The 17,078-nt window shown below is 60.7% G+C and overlaps 1 protein-coding gene across 17 annotated transcripts in view, besides 5 other annotated features; it reads right to left on the bottom strand.

Annotated features, from left to right (window-relative positions):
- The window catches only part of GRAMD4 (GRAM domain containing 4), a 107,013-nt gene that overhangs the window by 5,775 nt on the left and 84,160 nt on the right, over window positions 1–17,078 (bottom strand). For 13 of the 17 annotated variants that reach the window (XM_006724169.2, XM_047441210.1, XM_047441208.1 and 10 more), the window contains 14 exons: window positions 15,540–15,601; window positions 13,810–13,942; window positions 13,119–13,144; window positions 12,865–12,956; window positions 11,276–11,367; window positions 10,109–10,157; window positions 8,815–8,886; window positions 8,250–8,293; window positions 8,074–8,183; window positions 3,985–4,139; window positions 3,168–3,312; window positions 2,232–2,325; window positions 1,430–1,514; window positions 314–382 (listed from right to left, as the gene is read on the bottom strand). In XM_006724169.2, coding sequence (XP_006724232.1) covers window positions 314–382; window positions 1,430–1,514; window positions 2,232–2,325; window positions 3,168–3,312; window positions 3,985–4,139; window positions 8,074–8,183; window positions 8,250–8,293; window positions 8,815–8,886; window positions 10,109–10,157; window positions 11,276–11,367; window positions 12,865–12,956; window positions 13,119–13,144; window positions 13,810–13,942; window positions 15,540–15,601 — 1,228 coding nt within the window. Of the gene's footprint in view, window positions 1–313; window positions 383–1,429; window positions 1,515–2,231; window positions 2,326–3,167; window positions 3,313–3,335; window positions 3,607–3,984; window positions 4,140–8,073; window positions 8,184–8,249; window positions 8,294–8,814; window positions 8,887–10,108; window positions 10,158–11,275; window positions 11,368–12,864; window positions 12,957–13,118; window positions 13,145–13,809; window positions 13,943–15,539; window positions 15,602–17,078 lie in introns of those variants that run through there. The other 4 variants (XM_011530012.2, NM_001366660.1, XM_047441206.1 and 1 more) reach the window with 2 other exon arrangements.
- Window positions 2,250–2,309: an enhancer, noted in NCBI's record as "active region_19247". NCBI's record gives its function as "activates an Ori minimal core promoter by ATAC-STARR-seq in GM12878 lymphoblastoid cells {active_cell/tissue: GM12878}" and the evidence as "EXISTENCE:reporter gene assay evidence [ECO:0000049][PMID:35858748]".
- Window positions 2,350–2,499: an enhancer, noted in NCBI's record as "active region_19246". NCBI's record gives its function as "activates an Ori minimal core promoter by ATAC-STARR-seq in GM12878 lymphoblastoid cells {active_cell/tissue: GM12878}" and the evidence as "EXISTENCE:reporter gene assay evidence [ECO:0000049][PMID:35858748]".
- Window positions 2,700–2,779: an enhancer, noted in NCBI's record as "active region_19245". NCBI's record gives its function as "activates an Ori minimal core promoter by ATAC-STARR-seq in GM12878 lymphoblastoid cells {active_cell/tissue: GM12878}" and the evidence as "EXISTENCE:reporter gene assay evidence [ECO:0000049][PMID:35858748]".
- Window positions 6,859–7,359: an enhancer, noted in NCBI's record as "H3K4me1 hESC enhancer chr22:47065520-47066020 (GRCh37/hg19 assembly coordinates)". NCBI's record gives its function as "activates a minimal SCP1, AML or CMV promoter by ChIP-STARR-seq in naive H9 embryonic stem cells {active_cell/tissue: H9 hESC(naive)}" and the evidence as "EXISTENCE:reporter gene assay evidence [ECO:0000049][PMID:30033119]".
- Window positions 14,541–15,124: an enhancer, noted in NCBI's record as "H3K4me1 hESC enhancer chr22:47057755-47058338 (GRCh37/hg19 assembly coordinates)". NCBI's record gives its function as "activates a minimal SCP1, AML or CMV promoter by ChIP-STARR-seq in naive and primed H9 embryonic stem cells {active_cell/tissue: H9 hESC(naive and primed)}" and the evidence as "EXISTENCE:reporter gene assay evidence [ECO:0000049][PMID:30033119]".

Genomic DNA, 17,078 nt, shown 5'->3' with positions numbered 1-17,078 from the left:
CAGGGGAACAGAGCCAAGAGGCAGAGGGGAGCCAGGCTTTAGCCCCGTGCCTCCCTCCTCCCAAGTCACTGAGTCAGGGGACCCCTGTGCCCAACATCCCTGTCTGTCCGGTGACTCGATGGCCCCAGCAAGATTTCCAACCCAACCTGGACGCAGCCCCAGGCTCTAGCTGCTGCGAGGGAGGGGGCGGCTTTGTGACCCTGCTGCCCAAACTAAAACTCTGGCTGTCTGCCCCACGCTGGTCCCAGGGTTGCTCAGAGTCAGGCCCCTGGGCCCACACCAACCCCTTGGCGGCCCCCCGCCCGGCACCTACTTTCTGGGTGGATGGCGTCGACACGGCAATCCCCATGCCTGAGCCTGGGAGGACAGACAGGACCTTGTACTGAAAGGCAAAGCGTGGCCGTCACCACAGGTCTCTCCTGGGGACAGGGAGGCACAGCCCTCCACAGGCCCAGGGCATCCTCCTCCACTGGGCACACAGGCAGCAGGGCCCACGGGCACCTGGGACTTCCAAACAACAGAAGGTAAGGGCCTGTGGACACCTCCTCACTTTGTGGCCGAGACACCAGACCTGTAAAGGGTCTGTCCCACCCCAGCCCAGACCGTCGGCCAGCTGGCCTGAGGAAGGTCAGAGACAAGCCGGCCTGAGGAGGCTGACGGTAGGCACTCAGCCCCAGAACTCGCTCTCAGGGCCTGGCACCAGGAGGGCCATCTGTCAGCACCGCCAATCCCAAGAGGCAGGCGGAAAGGACCCCAGCCCTGAACTCACCCCTTCTGGTCACCTGACTGCACGCTTTTTTCCAGAGCCGGGTGGGAGAGATGACCCACAACTGCCGTGGGGCCGGGAGTGCCCGCCGTGCCAATGCGGACATGCCCAGGACGCTCGGAGCTGGGAGGGAGCTGGGGGCCCTGACCACTCGGGCCAAGTGTGCCTGCCAGTGCCTCACTGAGCCTTCCCTGCCCCAGAAAACAAGGGACCACAGGCACTTGTGGCCACGCCCACCTGCTCATTCCATGCTACGGTAAAATGCTGAGAAAATGCCCAGAGCGGGCGCGACCATCTGAGCTCCCACCTGAAAACCTGCATCCGAGGCAGGGGCTCAGGGCCCCTGTGCTTTTCTTTATGGGGAGGGTCCCAGATACGAGGGGAACACAGCAGCCAGAGTGGGGCTTGGGTCCTGACCTCCTGGGCTCCAACCCAGCCCCTCCACTTTGAGACACACGGTCCAGGCAAGTGGACCCCAGGGCAGGGGCAGACCCACAGGGACATGGGGACTCAAGTCAAGGAAACGGACCATGGCCGGCCAGCGTGGCCGCGGCGCCCAGATGCTGACAGAGGCTGGCAGAAGTCTATAGGGAAAGCCTCGCCAGCCTCTGTCAGGTGACGAAGAAAACACGGGGGTTAGTGGGGGTGGGTAGGTGCACCAACCTTCTGGATGTCCGTGATGTCCACTAGCTTGATGACTTTGTTCCTCTTTGAGGACCCAGATTTGGAGCTTTCGAAGCACAAGTAACTGGAAGGGGAACGGACAGAGGCGTCGCCTGGCTCTTGAACCAGAGCACGCTCCCACCAGGTGGGGGTCTCCCGGGGCTGCCTCTCAGCCCCCAGTGGGATGGACAGTGGTGCTCCCTTCCCAGCAGACACAGAACCGGTGAAACACTCACGGCCACTGCTCTATATGAGACACTCACGGCCACTGCTCTGTGTGAAACACTCACAGCCACTGCTCTGAGACACTCACGGCCACTGCTCTGAGTGAGACACGGCCACTGCTCTGAGACACTCACGGCCACTGCTCTGAGTGAGACACTCACGGCCACTGCTCTGCATAAGACATTCACAGCCACTGCTCTGAGTGAGACACTCACGGCCACTGCTCTGCATGAGGCACTCAGGGCAACAAGGACTCAGGGCCTCAGCAATAGCAGGTCCCCACACGGTCCCCTCCTTGGGAGACTCTGCCCCTCGTCTCCATGAACTGCTTGGGCCCCAGAGAAGACAGCATCCCCGCCAGCCTGAGGGATGGCAGCAGTACAGCCCAGGCCACGTCCGGCTTGGAGACAACACCTTTTCCCTGGGAGCCCAGACAGCCGGCAAGAGCAGAGCATGGGAGAGGCCATGGCCACCACTCAGGAAAACCTGCACTGGGCCAGCCACGCCATCCCAGGGCCTAGGCAGCCTCCTGCGCCCCCTCCCCTGCAGCCACACAGGGCCCCACGGCTGCACTCACTTCTCCGTGACGTAGAGCACCCCGTTCCTGATGTAGTCCGTGGGCATCTTCCGGTCCCTGTTGATGAGGCAGCAGCGCCAGCCATTCTCGCACACTAATGGGAGAAGGCCCGCCTGTCACACTTTCCACTGGAAGTACCCAGCCTCTGACCTGACGCTGGGACCCAGGAGCCTGACTCTCAGATCCTGACATCCGCCCACCGCGCTCACGTCACACCCACAGTGAGAGGAAGGCGCGCCGGCAAGAGTGAGGTGGCCCCAGAGGGTGGAAAACAGATGTTTCCTCTTCAACAGGCACTGGCAGGGTTTTTAAAGTAAAAGCACCCAGGCAGAGCAGGGAGCAACAGAAGTCACAGTGTGGCCGGGACACCACCTCCAAGACCGGCAGGGTCAGGGCGCTGGGACACCACCTCCACCAAGACCGGCAGGGCCAGGGCTCAGCAGAGGACGAAGCTCCGTTCTCCGCAGCTGCCTCTGCAGCCGCTCATCACACACCTCGAGCTGCCCGGTTTAGTTTAACAGGCCCTCCCTTTGGGAAAGCTGACCTGTCCCCAGGATCCTGAGTCACCTGTCCCCTGGTGGCTCTTGTTTCTCCAGACACGATGGAACCAGGGGCAGACCCCCTGCCAGCGCCCTGCAGGCCCTGAGGCCTCGCCCTGGACTCTCTCCCCAGTGTGTTGCCTGCACGCCTGCTGTCAGGGGAGTGCTGCAGCGTGGGCGGCTCTCCCCACGGGCACGCCCTCCTCCCCTGTAGCCCGCAGAGTCCTCATGACCCCTGGCTCCTGCACTCCTCCTGGGGCAGTGGGATGTGAATGCCATCCTGAGGGCTCCTCTGGCCTGTCACAGGGCGACCCCGTCCTGCATCCACAGCGCCCCCCTCACGGGCCTTCAGTCTGTGTCGGCGCTCGGCCTGGCCTCAGACTCACGGCACACATACCCGCCAGCGGACGCTCGTTTTCTGTCAGATTGAAGATCTCGTGGAAATTGCCCTTCTTGGTGCTGTGGAAGCGACCGGCGTCCTCCTCTTTACCCAGGCCGGCCGGTGCGCTGGGTACGTAGCTCCGTGACGAGGTCGTCTGCAGCTGCCAACGGCAAACAGCGTCGAGGTCAGGCCCGCTGCCCACGCCTGCAGCACCCAGATGTGCTGGCCGCACACACACCTCCCCAAAAGCTGGGATCCAAATTTGGGAAGACGTTCCCGAGGTCCCTTCCGGCCCAGAGCGGCTCCTTCTTCCAGGCAGGGCCACCTCACCTCAGTGGGGAGAGCCCAGCAACCCTCCTGACTCATCTGAGCCACCCCGAAGGGAGCACCGAGGCCTGCTCATTCCCCGTGGTCCTGGCTGGGATGCTGTGCTGCACATCTGGAGGGCCTGTGACTGTGAATGAAATATGGCCCAGTGCCAGGCTGTGGCTCCAAGGGGGCCCTTCTCAAACTGCCTGGTCTCAGCGCCAGAGCCTCACTGTCAGGGATGGCAGGGGCCGGGCACCCCCATGGAGTGGTCACTCCCAGGCCTGCTGGCTCTCAGTCATCATGGCCAGTCCCCAGGTGTTGCCCTGGGCTTGGGAGGGGCTGGATGAGCCTCAGAAACCGCAGTGGTAACAGGGAAAAAAAAAACCCTCAAGTTTAAGGAGTCTATAAAATTGAAGAAACAGCCTCTAAATGAGCCGGAGGTGAACAGAGCACTGTGGGCCTGGGGATGCCCGGCTTCGTGGCCCCCCATCCCCCCATCCCCGCAGCTGGGGGCCGGGCTCACCCTGCGTGAGACTGCGGCGCTGGAGCGCTCCTTGAGCTGCGGGTCGGTGGGGAGACTCCTCCAGATGATATAGGGCGTGTCGTACTTGGCGCGCAGCCTCGGGCAGCGTTTAAAGATGAAATCAATGAGGAAGAACTTGATACCAGCATAGAGTCCTGAGGGCAGGGGACACAGCCTGCTCCATCTAGAGCTCTGCAGCTATGCCAGTCTACTCAGGGTGATGGTTCCGGCACCTCCCACCTCCCAGATTGGCACCCTCCACCCTGAGCCTGGATGTGAGAGTCCAGCTGCTCGCTCAGTCCTCACCCTGGATACCCCCAGCCTCGCTCCCCTGGGGCCCATTCGTGCTGCACAGTCTCAACCCCAGGCGAGGGCCCCACTGCCAGCGCCCCACCCACTCCCACTAAGACCCCTCAGCTCTGCTAGGACCCCCCCATCCAATGCCCCTCACTTCTCTCTCCAACTCCGCCTGGCTCAGGGCTGTTCTTGACCCACCTGAAACACTTCAGGACTGTGCCTCCTCTGCCCCAATTCCCCACACCTGACACCAAATCTGAGGTCCCTCCATGGCAATCCCTCCCCAAACCCCCTCCCACCTGCCCTTCTTCAACTGGGTGCCCCCCCACGCCCAGCCCATCCCTGCTGAGAGGCCGCCCATGACCAGCTGCTCAGACGGCTCCCAGCCACGCCCTCGCAAGTTCCCCTCCACCAGCTCCGTTTTCTCCCCGATACTGTCACCTGACACAATCATGGTCAGTCCCCCTACTAAACACGACCTCAGAAGAGCCAGGCCTGACTGCGCCCCAGGACCCCACCTGGCAACAGATGCAGGGATGGGAGGCGGGGCCGGCCCCCACACACCTGCTAACGCACCCCCCTGGGCAGCAAAAGCTGTCAGGAGTTCCGGTCTCTCCGGGTGCCCCTCCCAGTGCTGGGGGCTGTCTCGCTGCCCCCAGTGCACAGCCCGCCAGACCAGACCAGACGTGGCAGGCCCTCCCTGCAGGGGCCCCAGGGTCAGAGTTCCATGTACTATCTGTGCTATAAAGGGACTGATAAAGCTGTGCCTTTGTTTCATTTTTTGCCTTTGTAGGACATTTTCACAGAAATTCATCAATCAAGTCAGACTTTTTGACCCCAATTCTCAACTTGTTGATTCTTTTTTTTGAGACAGAGTCTTGCTCTGTTGCCCAGGCTGGAGTGCAATGGCTTGATCTCAGCTCACTGCAACCTCCCGGGTTCAAGCGATTCTCCTGCCTCAGCCTCTCGAGTAGCTGGGAGCCTACCACCACACCCGGCTAAATTTTTTATTTTATTTTATTTTATTTTATTTTATTTTATTTTTGAGACGGAGTCTTGCTCTGTCGCCCAGGCAGGAGTGCAGCAACATGATCTTGGCTCACTGCCAGCTCCGCCTCCCGGGTTCACGCCATTCTCCTGCTTCAGCCCCCTGAGTAGCTGGGACTACAGGCGCCTGCCACCATGCCTGGCTAATTTTTTTTAATTTTAATTTTAATTTTTTTATTTGAGACAGAGTCTTGCTCTGTCGCCCAGGCTGGAGTGCAGTGGCGCGATCTCAGCTCACTGCAAGCTCCACACGCGGCTACATTTTGTATTTTTGGTAGAGACGGGGTTTCACCATGTTGGCTGGGCTGGTCTCGAACTCCTGACCTCAAGTGATTCACCCGCCTCGGCCTTCCAAAGTGCTGGGATTACAGGCGTGAGCCACCGTGTCCGGACAACTTGTTGATTCTTGAAAGATGCTAGGTGTGAGGAGGGGCAGGGCCAGGACCACCCCCTTGGCTGACTGGACTGAGCTCCCAGGCCTCCTCCACGTGGTGGCCGACCCAGGAGGGACAGCTCAGCTCAAGAGAGCCCAAGTCCCAGCTGGGGCCATCCTTGCTTGGAGCAGGCAGCCTCTGCCCCTCTAAGCTGAGGTCCCTTGTCAGCACTGCAAAAGAATACATGGGCACCGATAAGCCAGGAATGCCATCTTGGCCCACACCTGGCAGGGTCACCGCTGCCCAGTGGCAGTGGTGATCTCAGGGTGGTTGTGAGAACCCAAACCACACTGGGTGTCACAAAAAAGGACAGCAGGGGCCGGGCGCAGTGGCTCACGCCTGGAATCCTAGCACTTTGGGAGGCCGAGCGGGCGGATCATGATGTCAGGGGTTCAATACCAGCCTGGCCAACATGGTGAAACCTCGTCTCTATTAAAAATACAAAAATTAGCTGAGTGTGGTGGTGCACCCCTGTAATCCCAGCTACTCCCGAGGCTGAGGCAGGACAATCACTTAAACTCAGGGGATGGAGGTTGCAGTGAGCCGAGATCGTGCCACTGCACTCCAGCCTGGGTGAGACAGACTGAGACGCTGTCTTGAAAAAAAAGGACAGCAGGGCAGATGCAGGACACCAAGACCCAGGTGCACACCCCCAGGCTCCCCGTGGAGGGCGGCCTGCCCCGGAGCTGTCCAGGGCCGCAAGTGCACTGCAGCTCTGGAGCCTCGGCACCTGGACCCAGGCCTAGGGGTCCAACAGGAGGTCACAGTGGTCACCTACCCATTCATGAGCCTAGAGTCCTGGGTGCTAGCCAGAGGGGCTCCAGGGCATTGTCGGGGTAAGGGTCTGATCAGATCTGGCTCTGCCCACTCCTGGTGATGCCACCTGATGGCCACAGTGAGCTGCTGTTGGACAGCTCAGCCGTGCTGCGTCCAGAGAGGCCTGTCCTCCCACCAGCAGTTACGCTGGGTCAGGGCTAGGGTCGGGCTTGCGTTATGGTAAAGGCATTCAGGAAACGTGGCAGGGGGCATCTGCTCTTCCACACAGACACAGCCCCCACTGCTCCTCTGCGCAGCACGCCAAGCCTAGACTGCTGAGGGGCCGGGGTCTGACCTCCCGACTCCGGCACGGAGCTCTCCCCACCCCTGGCTTTGTGGCTCCTACAGCCGCACACGCTGTCCTGCGTGGGCTCAGGCGAGTCCCACCTGCCCCTCAAGGACAGGACCCTGGCGGCCTCGCTCCCACATGCCAGTGTGTGGCCCATGTCAGACACTGGATCGTTGTTATTGAGGAAAAGAGAAAGAAAAGAAAAGAAACAAGACAAGACAAAACAAAACAGAAGAGACCAGTCGCAGTGGCTCCCGCCTGTAATCCCAGCACTTTGGGAGGCCGAGGTGGGCAGATCGCCTGAGGTCAGGAGTTCCAGACCAGCCTAGCCAATAAGGTGAAACCCCGTCTCTACTAAAAATACAAAAAAAATTAGCTGGGCGTGGTGGCGGGTGCCTGTAGTCCCAGCTACTTGGGAGGCTGAGGCAGGAGAATCACTTGAACCCGGGAGGCGGAGGTTGCAGTGAGCCGAGATCACGCCACTGCACTCCAGCCTGGGCGACAGAGCGACACTCCGTCTCCAAAAAAAAAAAAAGAGAGAGAGAGAGACAAAAACAAAGAAAAGGAGAAAGACAAAGATAAAGGAGGGAAGCAAGAAAAAAGAAAAGAGAAAGGAGGGAAGAGAGCATGCTGGGCAGCAGTGGATGAGCGCCTCCTGGGGTGAGGGGGGGCCACCACACCCCACCCACCTCCCGGCACAGCCCGGTCCTCACCGCCAGCCACCCTCCTTCCCCGCCGCCAGCTCTGCAGATGAGTGTTTTAGTGGATGAGACCCTTGGCTTCACGTGATGTCACCAAACTCATCAGCTACAACCAACCTCCCTGCACATCAAACCAGGCTCTCAGGCTCTCCATGACTGTCACCCCTAAGCCCACAGGCGCCCCAAGAGGCATGTCCTGCCCAGGGCAATTCCCTGACACCCCAAGTCCTGCTATCCTGGGTCTTGGGTCTTCCAGCTCCTCCCACTTTGCAGGAGACATGGGGGCCTTGGAAGTGGAGGGCTTCTTGATTTAAGAAACAATCACCGTGTCCCTCGATCTCGGATGGGCTTCACTTCTCCCAAATTGAAACATTTGTGACAAAAAGCAGAGGAAGGATCGCCAGGTGAGTTTAACAGCTCTTGCAGACACCTGGCAGACACTGGTGGCATGCGGACACCTGTGTCCCTCCTCCTGAAGCTACAGGCCGCAGGTGCATCTACTTACCCACGGCAAGCCCCACCAGGCGGTAGGGGAAGAAGCAGGAGGCCAGGAAGGCAGCCCAGAGCGCCACATACAGCTTCTGTGTGATCTCCGGCTGGACCCACATGAACAAGCTGGAAGGAGACGGGAGGCTCAGGCCGGGCGGGCGCCGCAGGGCCGGGGTGGGGGGCGGGACTTACTTCTTGATCTTCTCCAGGATGTCAGCCATCTTCCCGAAAAGGTTCTGTGTGAAGGAGAAACAGCAATTACAACAGCCCCCGCTCCTGGGCTGTCAGTCACACCGCGACGCCAGGAGGGCCTCCAGGTCGGGCAGCCCTGAGGTCACTCGGAGCCCTGTGGTCCTGCCCGGCTGCTCCTAGGCCGGGGAAGGCCCAGCTCTGGTCTAGGGCAGAGGTGGCCACGCTCACAGCAACAGCAGACCCGGGCCTGAGTCCTTCCCAGGGGCGTTCAACCCTGGCCAGGGGCGGTGGGGAGGGAGGGGAGCTCCACCCTCGCGCACCGTCCGCAGAGGCTGAATCAGGAGGCCCCTTCCCCAACCACCAGAGTTGCTGTAACGACCATCCAAGGGCAGGGTGACTACAAGTCAGCTGACCGCGGACAAACCGGGCCTGCAGTGTCAGGCACGGCCCTCCCCAGGCAGCAGCGGAGGCCGGCGGAGACCTACCCCTGGCCGGCGTAGACACACCCCTGGCTGGTGCCCATGGCTGGCGCAGACACACCCCTGGCCGGCGCCCGTGGCAGTACCTGGGCTTTCTGGGCGACGTCCAGCACCAGCTGGAACTTCTCAGACACAGTCAGGTCTTCCTTTGGAGGTTCCTTCAGTAAAAGGGGAAAGAGAATTTTCCACTGAAATTTAACAGTTCAGAAAAACCACTGACAAAACAGTGTGGAGCCCTCCCAGCCCCAGGGACTCTGCTGTCCCCACACAGCCAGGGGGGATGGGACATCCCTTGGGGACCTGGCACCAGGAGGACACCCCTATGGGCTGATGGTGACATCTCACCCCGTGCCCCTCACTCTGGGTGCACAACAGGAGTGGGGCAGAGCCGCCCCTGCAATGGCTGAGCAGAGGCTCTGCCTCACAGTTCACCTTCACAGCTGCCCTCCCTCACTTACAGGCAGGGAAACTGAGGCCCAGCCAATGGGAGCCCTGGTCCTGCTTGTCTCCCATTCGTTAAGAGCCTCTCAAGGTCTCCTGGGTCCCAGTGCTGGGCGGGCAACAGCCTGCCTCCTCCAGGTACTTGCCCTGACCCCTGGTGCTCCATGCAAGAAACAGGCACTGAGATACCCAACTAGGCCCGTGGAGGCACCGAGGCCTCCCTTCTGCCCACGCCCAGTGGTCCTGCCCCATGGGCCGGGGTCTCCCTCTAGAGCAGACTTCTGTAAAGGGCCAGACAGTAAATATTTTTGGCTTCCATGGCCACGTGGTCTGTCGTCTACTCAAGGGTAATGCAAAAGCAGCCGCAGCAGTATGTAAATGAATGGGTGTGTCTATGTGCCAATAAAACTTTATTTACAAAGTTAGGCAGTGGGCCAGAGGTGGGTTTTTTGTTGTCGTTGTTCTGTTTTTTTGAGACAGAGTCTTGCTCTGTTGCCCAGGCTGGAGTGCAGTGGAGGGATCTCGGCTCACTGCAACCTCCGAGAGGTGGGCTCTTGAATCTCAGATGGGAACAGGTCCACTTGTCCAGCCTACTGTTCACCACCCTACCTGGGGAGGTTGTGGGGGCTACAGCAGCCCCTCAATGTCCCCCACCCCTGCCATACCACATCCTAGCTGGGAAGCCTGGCCAGGGCCAGGCAATCTGCTTCTTGCACAGCCAAGCCTGGACTAGAATGTGGGGCCGGGCTTGCAGCCTCGCAGGCCTTGGGGCTAGGGAGGGGCTGGCCTCCTCCTCCCCTCCTCTTCAGGCCAGGCCAGGACTCCAGGGGGATGACCACATGGCCTCATCCAGAGGCTTCCCCGAGCGGTGCCTACAGGCTGTGAGGCCTGACGTGATGGAGACAGTCGGAGGAGACCGTGCACCCTCCAGGGACTTACCACGGGCTCAGACACTTCGGGCACGATGCTCCACTGTATCCGCCACCCCCTGGCGAACAGAAAACACACACACCTTTAGGACAGCGCCACCTGAGTCAGGGGAAGGCATCGAATCGCTGGCCCTGCACGCCCAGCTGGGCTTGGAGGGGGCCCTTCTAGGTCCTTCTATGCTGCCCAATGGGGAGAAAAGGTCCCTCCGGAACCCCCTGCTGTGAGAGCAGTCAACTCCTGTCACCCTCACCAGCCCCTCCTCTGGGGCCCTTCTGGGCAGAGGGGACATATTTAAAAGTGGCCAGCGGTGTGGGAGAGGGCGGCCCTTCAACATCCAAAGTGGCATCAGCAAGTGTCCAAGCTGATCCTGACCTAGCTCTGGGTACCAACGACACCTTCCAGAGTATTTAAGTGATTTCTACAAAAAACATTTTCAAATGAGCCAACTGGGGCAGGCACAGAGAACCATCTGGAAACACTGGTGCATAAAAGTGCAAACTTTTGAACGGCCAAGTCAAAGTACAGAATCACAGCTCTTCCCTGAGCCTCGGTGCAAGGCTGAGGTTCACTCCAGGGGTAACCGCAGGCTAAGAAGGACCCAGGAGTGCAGGGACTAGGGGTCCACCCCAGGGCATGGGCTTCCCAGAGCCCCCCTCAGCCTCCACAGGGAGGGGGTGCTCAGAGGGGGCATAAGGGGTGACACGAGAGCCCTGACTCAGGCCAGGGTTGGGGTTAACGCGTCAGTCACACGGGCGTGCTGTCTGCAGGCGACTGGTACTCATTCCCGGTCCAGCTCCTCCCCAGCAGGCTCATCTCCAACAGGCAGCCAGCAGGAACCTTCCGGGGCGTGGAGCCCTGTTTGCTTCACCCACCTACCCACTGATGTTGGGGAGAAGCCCCCTGCGATGTTCGGGCAGGTGCTGGAACGGCCCTGGCTCTGCTGGCCGCCCGGGGAAGGAGCTGCTGGGGGATTTGGGAACTTCCCACTGCCATCTCTAGCAAACCAGGGAGGGGGCAGCCGCCCTGCCTGGGGGGTCTCTGGAGCCTGTCAGGGGACCACCCCCAAAACGTCAGTGCATGACATACCCAGCTGGGGTCACGGTTGTGAGACGCAGGGAGACAGCACAGCCATACATGCGGTGGGATAAAGCAGCTGCAACAAACCGGCTCACCTACCTGGCGATGAGGTAATTGAGGGATAACCTCAGAATTGCTAGAAATAAGAACAATGGGATGGCCCAGCCATGCCACACGGCATTCATGTACACCTGCGGGTGAGAGACAGGGCGTCAGACCTCCTGACAGCTTGGATCAGGACAAGGCACATCCCTCCCGCCTCCCCCCACCAGGCGGCCCCAGTGGGGAGACCAGGCCACCCGCTGGCTCTCCAGACACTCAGGGATGAGGGTGCGTCTGATGGGGAAGCCGGAGGAAGGGCTGCTTCCCCGGTTTAAGAGCCGCCGGTGGAAGCCAGGAGACACCTAGGGAGAAGCGTGTCCTGGGGACAGAAGAGGGCGGCTGGTTCCACATGCGGGTCCTGCCTGCCCCGGTGTGGCTCCCACGCACCAGACTTGGGGCATCACCAGGACTCAGCCTGGCTGGGCGAGGCAGGCAAGCACTGCTGAGGGCGAGCCAGGTGCATGCCCGGGGCCACCTTCATGCCAGGCACCATCTGTGCCCAGCACAGAGCCCGGGACGCAGAGCAGATGTGCACAGGGCAGGGGATGGAGGTGAGGCCTGGAAGGCAGGTTCAAAGCTTGGGCTCATCTCTTAGTGACAACAGACATGGCACAGGAGCGTGTGGGAGCCCAGGCAGCAAAGGCCTCCTGTCGCAAAGCATTTGTGAGGGTGGCAGGAGAAGAGGCCTTCCAGGGCCAGGGTGAAGCCGGTGGTCCCAGCACCCAGCCTTCATCTGTGAGTGAACAAAGTGCCCATGTCCCAGGTGAGTGGTAAGTGCCCGCAGCAGGCACAGGGCCACAGGCTTCAGGGACTTTCCTGGAGAGCCTGACCCAGGCTGAGGTCATCTGGGGACCTCTCCCAAGGGGCCCGCTCAGCAGGGCAGTGCTGCCTTTGGGAGCCCTGGACAGTGCCAGGCTGTGGACGCCTCCTCTCTGGCCTGGAGGCCCTAGCAAGCAGGTGGGCTGCCTGCATCTTCCTCGTGCTGGAGGCACAGTCTCCATCCTGGGTGAGGGGGCTCCCCCCGAGGACCAAGTACTGAGACACAGGTGGCAAGTCTCCTGTCCCGCTGGGGCAGCCGCTGCAGGGCAGTTCCAGGCAGGACGGCTGGGCACCTTTTCCCCAAGGCCCTGGCAATGTGGGCCCTGGCACCCTCCAATCCCTCAGGACTCATGGCTCACAGGGGCTGGGCTGGGCCCCTCGTGCTGCCATGCCCTTGGAGGTACTCCTGGCCCCAGCACCAGGTACTCTGTGGACCTCAGCAGCGTGGCCACCGCACTGCACGGTGAGTGCCAAGAGGCCTTTCCCAAGGGCACCCTGGGGGACAAGGCTGCACCACATCCCTGTCCAGGGAGCCCTGCAGGCTAGCCCCGGGCCACGCCCAACATCTTTGATCCTTGAAGCCACCCCATGGCTGGGCACTGGCATCAGTGAGCCCACTTTACAGAAGGAGAAATGAGCATGTCCCTGGGGCCTGAGGAAGTGCCACCTGGGGGCCACCTCCCACCCTGGGAAGGTGCCTGATCATGTGGTGAATGCTGGCAGGCACATCCCACCCACCCTGCTCGGCCCCTGGAGGACCCACTCACGGTGAAGGCAATGGCAGACGTGTAGACGGAGTACCAGTCGGATAAGGCAGAGAGGTTCTTCACAAAGTTAGTGACCGGCTTGGCACCGCGCTCTGGGGACAGAGCAGACCACAGTGGTCAGCACTGTGGGTAGGAGGCCGCTTAACCACGTCTCCCTGGAGAGTCGGTTCAGCTCAGAATCCCAGAGTCCCCACCGCCATGGGCCCCACCCACACTGAGCATCGTGGGCGCCACGCAGAGCCGCTGGTACTCACTGAGCCGTCTCATATTTTCAGTTAACCTAAGAGAGAAGGGGAGAGATGGGAGCCCAGGGTTAATGCACCCGCCGGCTCTGCAGTCCCCACTGCCCGGTTCCGTTGGCTCTGCAGGGGCCAGGGAGGACGTCTCAACAGCCTGGGACCCCTTGAGTGCACAGAATGGCCATGCACGGCGGCTCAGCACAGCAGGGTGCGCCGGGATGGCCCTCAGTGCCACTCCCCAAGTTAGGAAGGCAGGGGCGACTCGCCAATGAAATCGTCCCCTCATCTCCTGCCTGTGTCCCCAGAACAGAAGTCCTCAAGGGCAGGGCCTTTGCTGACCTAGCTCCCTCGGGACCCCCAGGGCCTATGGCAGCACCTGGCAGGGGAACCAAGGTTTACTGATGGGACTCAAGAGCCAAGGAAGGCCCCAGGCAGTGGGCTGAGCCCCATGAGTCCCCACACAACTGTCACAAGCCACAGCTGAGAGCAGTGCGCGCATGCAGCTCTGCTGCACCTAAGCGGGCCTCGCAAGCCCCTGCCAGGCACGGCCCCCAGAAGACCAGACACAGCGGAGCCTCCAGGAGCTCTCGGCAGCCTCACAGACAGCTTTGGCCCACGGTGATAAAGGATGGCCCACCCGCTGCAGCCTCAGCCCAGGGACCGGGGCCCCTAACGCACAGGCAGCCCCAGCTCGGCGAACCCCTACCTGCGGGCGCTCAGGGGTTCCTCTGTCTCCACAGTGTTCTCCTCGGGCTGGAACCGGAAGTCCTCCACGTACTCCCCAAACCGCTCGTAGAACCACTTCTGCAGGCGCGAGGACAGCCCCTGGCTCCGGCGCTCTGCAGGGGGCAGGGACCCGGTGAGGGCACGGCAGGGCTGCACTGCCTGTTCTGGGGTCGGCTCCGGGATCTCAGGGCAGGGAGGGGCCTCACTGCAAGGGCGCGGCCAGCAGAGGCACAAGGAATGCTCGGGGGTAGGTCAGGGAAATGAAGGGTCCCTGTACAAGGGACTTTGAAGGGCTCAGTCCTCTGAAGACACCAAGTGCAAACCAACCGGCACACAGCAGAGCTGCCCCAGCCATGACGACCTCAGTGCCGGGTCTCTCTGCTTTTCATCCCTGTCCCCAGCTCTCTGCCCGCCCTGGGCTCTCGTCAGCGGGCAGCCTGTCCATCCAGGCTGCTCGGCCCACCTCAGACGTCTGCATCAAACCCCCTTTCTACCTCCGGGTTGTCAGAAAGCAGATGGAGAGGTCACTGCCCCAGCCCTGCATATCCTGAGCATCAGCCAATGGATGGCGCAGCGGGAGGCTGTGTCCTGGGCTGGGGGTGCCTGGCGAGCGCAGCCAGCCCAGGGTGAGCGCACGGTGTTGTCGTGCTGATGACCAGCAATGTTTACCAAAAGCGAACACCTCTGGAAAGCAGCCTCCACGGCGGGAAACCGGAAGAATCCCTCGGAAGGGGGGCTCAGGGGTGCAAGCCAGTCCCTCCCTTCAGAAGGCCAGTGAGGAGCCGCCTGCAGCGGGTGCTGCCTCGCCAAAGTTTTGGGCCCTGGGACCAGAGGGCCTGTGGTCACCATACCCAGGGGGCTGCAGGCTCAGGGCAGAGGCTCAAGAGCCACAGGCCAAGGGGGCTGAGGTCTGTGTACCCCAAGGCCACCCGGGCAGGGAGGATGGGGCCAGGGCAGGCTCCTGCGGCTTCTTCCCGCCCCCAAGGCAGCCTGGCAGAGTTTTTAAGGGGAGGGTCCAGGTGAGATCGGCACACTCGTCCCAGCCGTAAGTGAACCGGCCCGGCTGTGTTCCCATGGACTTTATTTATGGACTGAAATTTCAGGTTTATATTACGTTCTCATGTCATGAAATGAAACCATTTAAATCTGTGAAGCCAGGCGGGGGCTGGAGTTTGCTGACCCCCAGGTACAGGGAACTATGCCGGCTGCCTGCAGGGCGTGGGGCAAGATAAAGAACAGGCACTCAGGGATGGAGGACGAGGAGAGAGATAAAAGGGCACATGAACCCCCAACTCCCCACTCACAGCCAACCATAGCCCCACTGCCCACTTGGTCCCCTTCGGGGAGGCACCAGGGCAGCGGCAGTGACCAGCGTGGCTCTCACATCACTGTTCCGTGGGGCAAGGCTGAAACAGAGTACGTGTGTATTCCCCAAAGAACACACAATCACGCTTTAGTTGAGTGACTGGAAATTTGTGATGACGACTATGATGACTCACCACTTCGCATCAGAGACACTAACCCAGTTCTGACGGGAGGAGATTCCCGGATGCCAGCAGGTGCCTGGGCACAGAACCAGCACCTGCCGCCTGCCCACCTGCTGGGGGAGGGGGTATCTGCTCCATTGTTAACCTGGGCCTACAGAACCAGCAGGTGACGCGCAGCCACCCACCCGCCCGCCTGCCTGTCCACCCGCCCACCAGGGTGTACCTGCTCCATTGCTGGCCTGGGCCTGCCCTTTTGGGGGCTGCTGAGCCATCTGCTCCTCGGTTCTTAAAAAGCAGGGAGAGAAGAGACAAGAGGTCTGTTAGTTCCAAACTCCATGCCCAGTCAGGCACCCCCGAGGGCTCTCGCGACCGTGTACTGCACAGGAGAGGTCAGGGACAGCAGGGCTCTCTCCAGAGTCTCCACTGCTGAAATGCTGGTTCCGAGCGTATCCAGGCAAGCACAGAGCTGCCTTCCTAACAGGCACACGTTTTGTTTTTAAACAACCAGCATCTTTCACCACTCTTTCCTTTCCTATTCATTTTAGCACACTTGCTTCTTTCAACATCATTAAACTCAGAATACTCTCATATCACCAACCCGTCTGCTAATGAAAAGATACTGATCAACACACATGTGTTTATCAGGCACCAAGCCAGGCCACAGGCTGGGTGCCACCTGTCAGCAGCCTGTACCCAGCTCCCAGCTCAGCCTACTCCAGCGACCTGCCTGGACTGGGCAGGGGCACTAGACGGCCACTAGGGTCTGCTTCCGTCCCACACCCAGCCCCTCCAGCCAAGGCCTGTGAGCAGGTGCAGCACAGAACCGGGCCAAGTGCTGTGTGGTCGCCCCTAACCTTCCTAACTCTTGGGAAGCGGGAGTGGGGAGGGAGGAAGCTGGGGGAGGAGTAAACCCTGAGAAGAGAACAGAGGGCGGAGCACAGGGCACACAGGGCACGGCCAGGTAAGCAGCGGGCAGGAAGCAGACAGTGAGGTTTTCAGGGGACTTTGGATCCACAATGGAGAGAATCTCTGCCTACTGACAAGTAGCCTTAAACCAAGGTGACTTTCTGAGAATTTTCTTAAAAACCAAAATAGAGGTTTGCATAAACAGAACTGCTGTGCTTTAATCCTGCAGCTTCAGAGTGTGTGGTATGTGTGTGTGCAGTGTGTGCGCACATGTGTCTGCATGTTTGTGTGTGCCCTCACACACCTACCCACCCTGGACAGACCACAGCCACCCAGACCCACCCCAGATCTGCACCAGGACGACAAGGAAAGAGGAGGTCACTCTGCCTGGGACTGCTCTTCCTTCACCCCTCCTCCTTCAGGCTTCCAGAAGGTTCCTAAGCGCCGCCCCCATGTAAAGCAGGGGAGAGCCCTTAATGCTCCCAGGACCTTCAGCTTCCACTTCCTGGGTCACAGCCTGGATGTTCCTTCACTGCCCATTCCCCACCCATTCCCAAGGCAGAGACTGTGCGAGATGGGGCTCCCTGCGTTCTTACAGCTGACCCGGGCTGGGCACACCTGCCACCAAGGGGCTTTGGTAAAAGATGAGGACCAGATCCTGGAGTGGGGCTGGCGGGAGTGAGAGGATGGGAAACAGAACACAGGGAGCAGGGCCACGGGGACAGCCTCAGGCCACCTTAGCCACCGGGGGAGAAGCAGCGTCCCGTGGCGGGGATGGCACTGTGGCCAAATGCCTGGGGACCGCACCTGTCCCTGGGATCTCCCAGCGTGGCAGGTCAGGTCTCTGTTGCAACTC

Source organism: Homo sapiens, chromosome 22 (genome assembly GCF_000001405.40).
Source record: "Homo sapiens chromosome 22, GRCh38.p14 Primary Assembly".
Lineage (NCBI taxonomy): Eukaryota > Metazoa > Chordata > Mammalia > Primates > Hominidae > Homo > Homo sapiens.
Note: the sequence above shows the minus strand (reverse complement) of the source record. Positions and strands in the feature narration are given on the sequence as shown.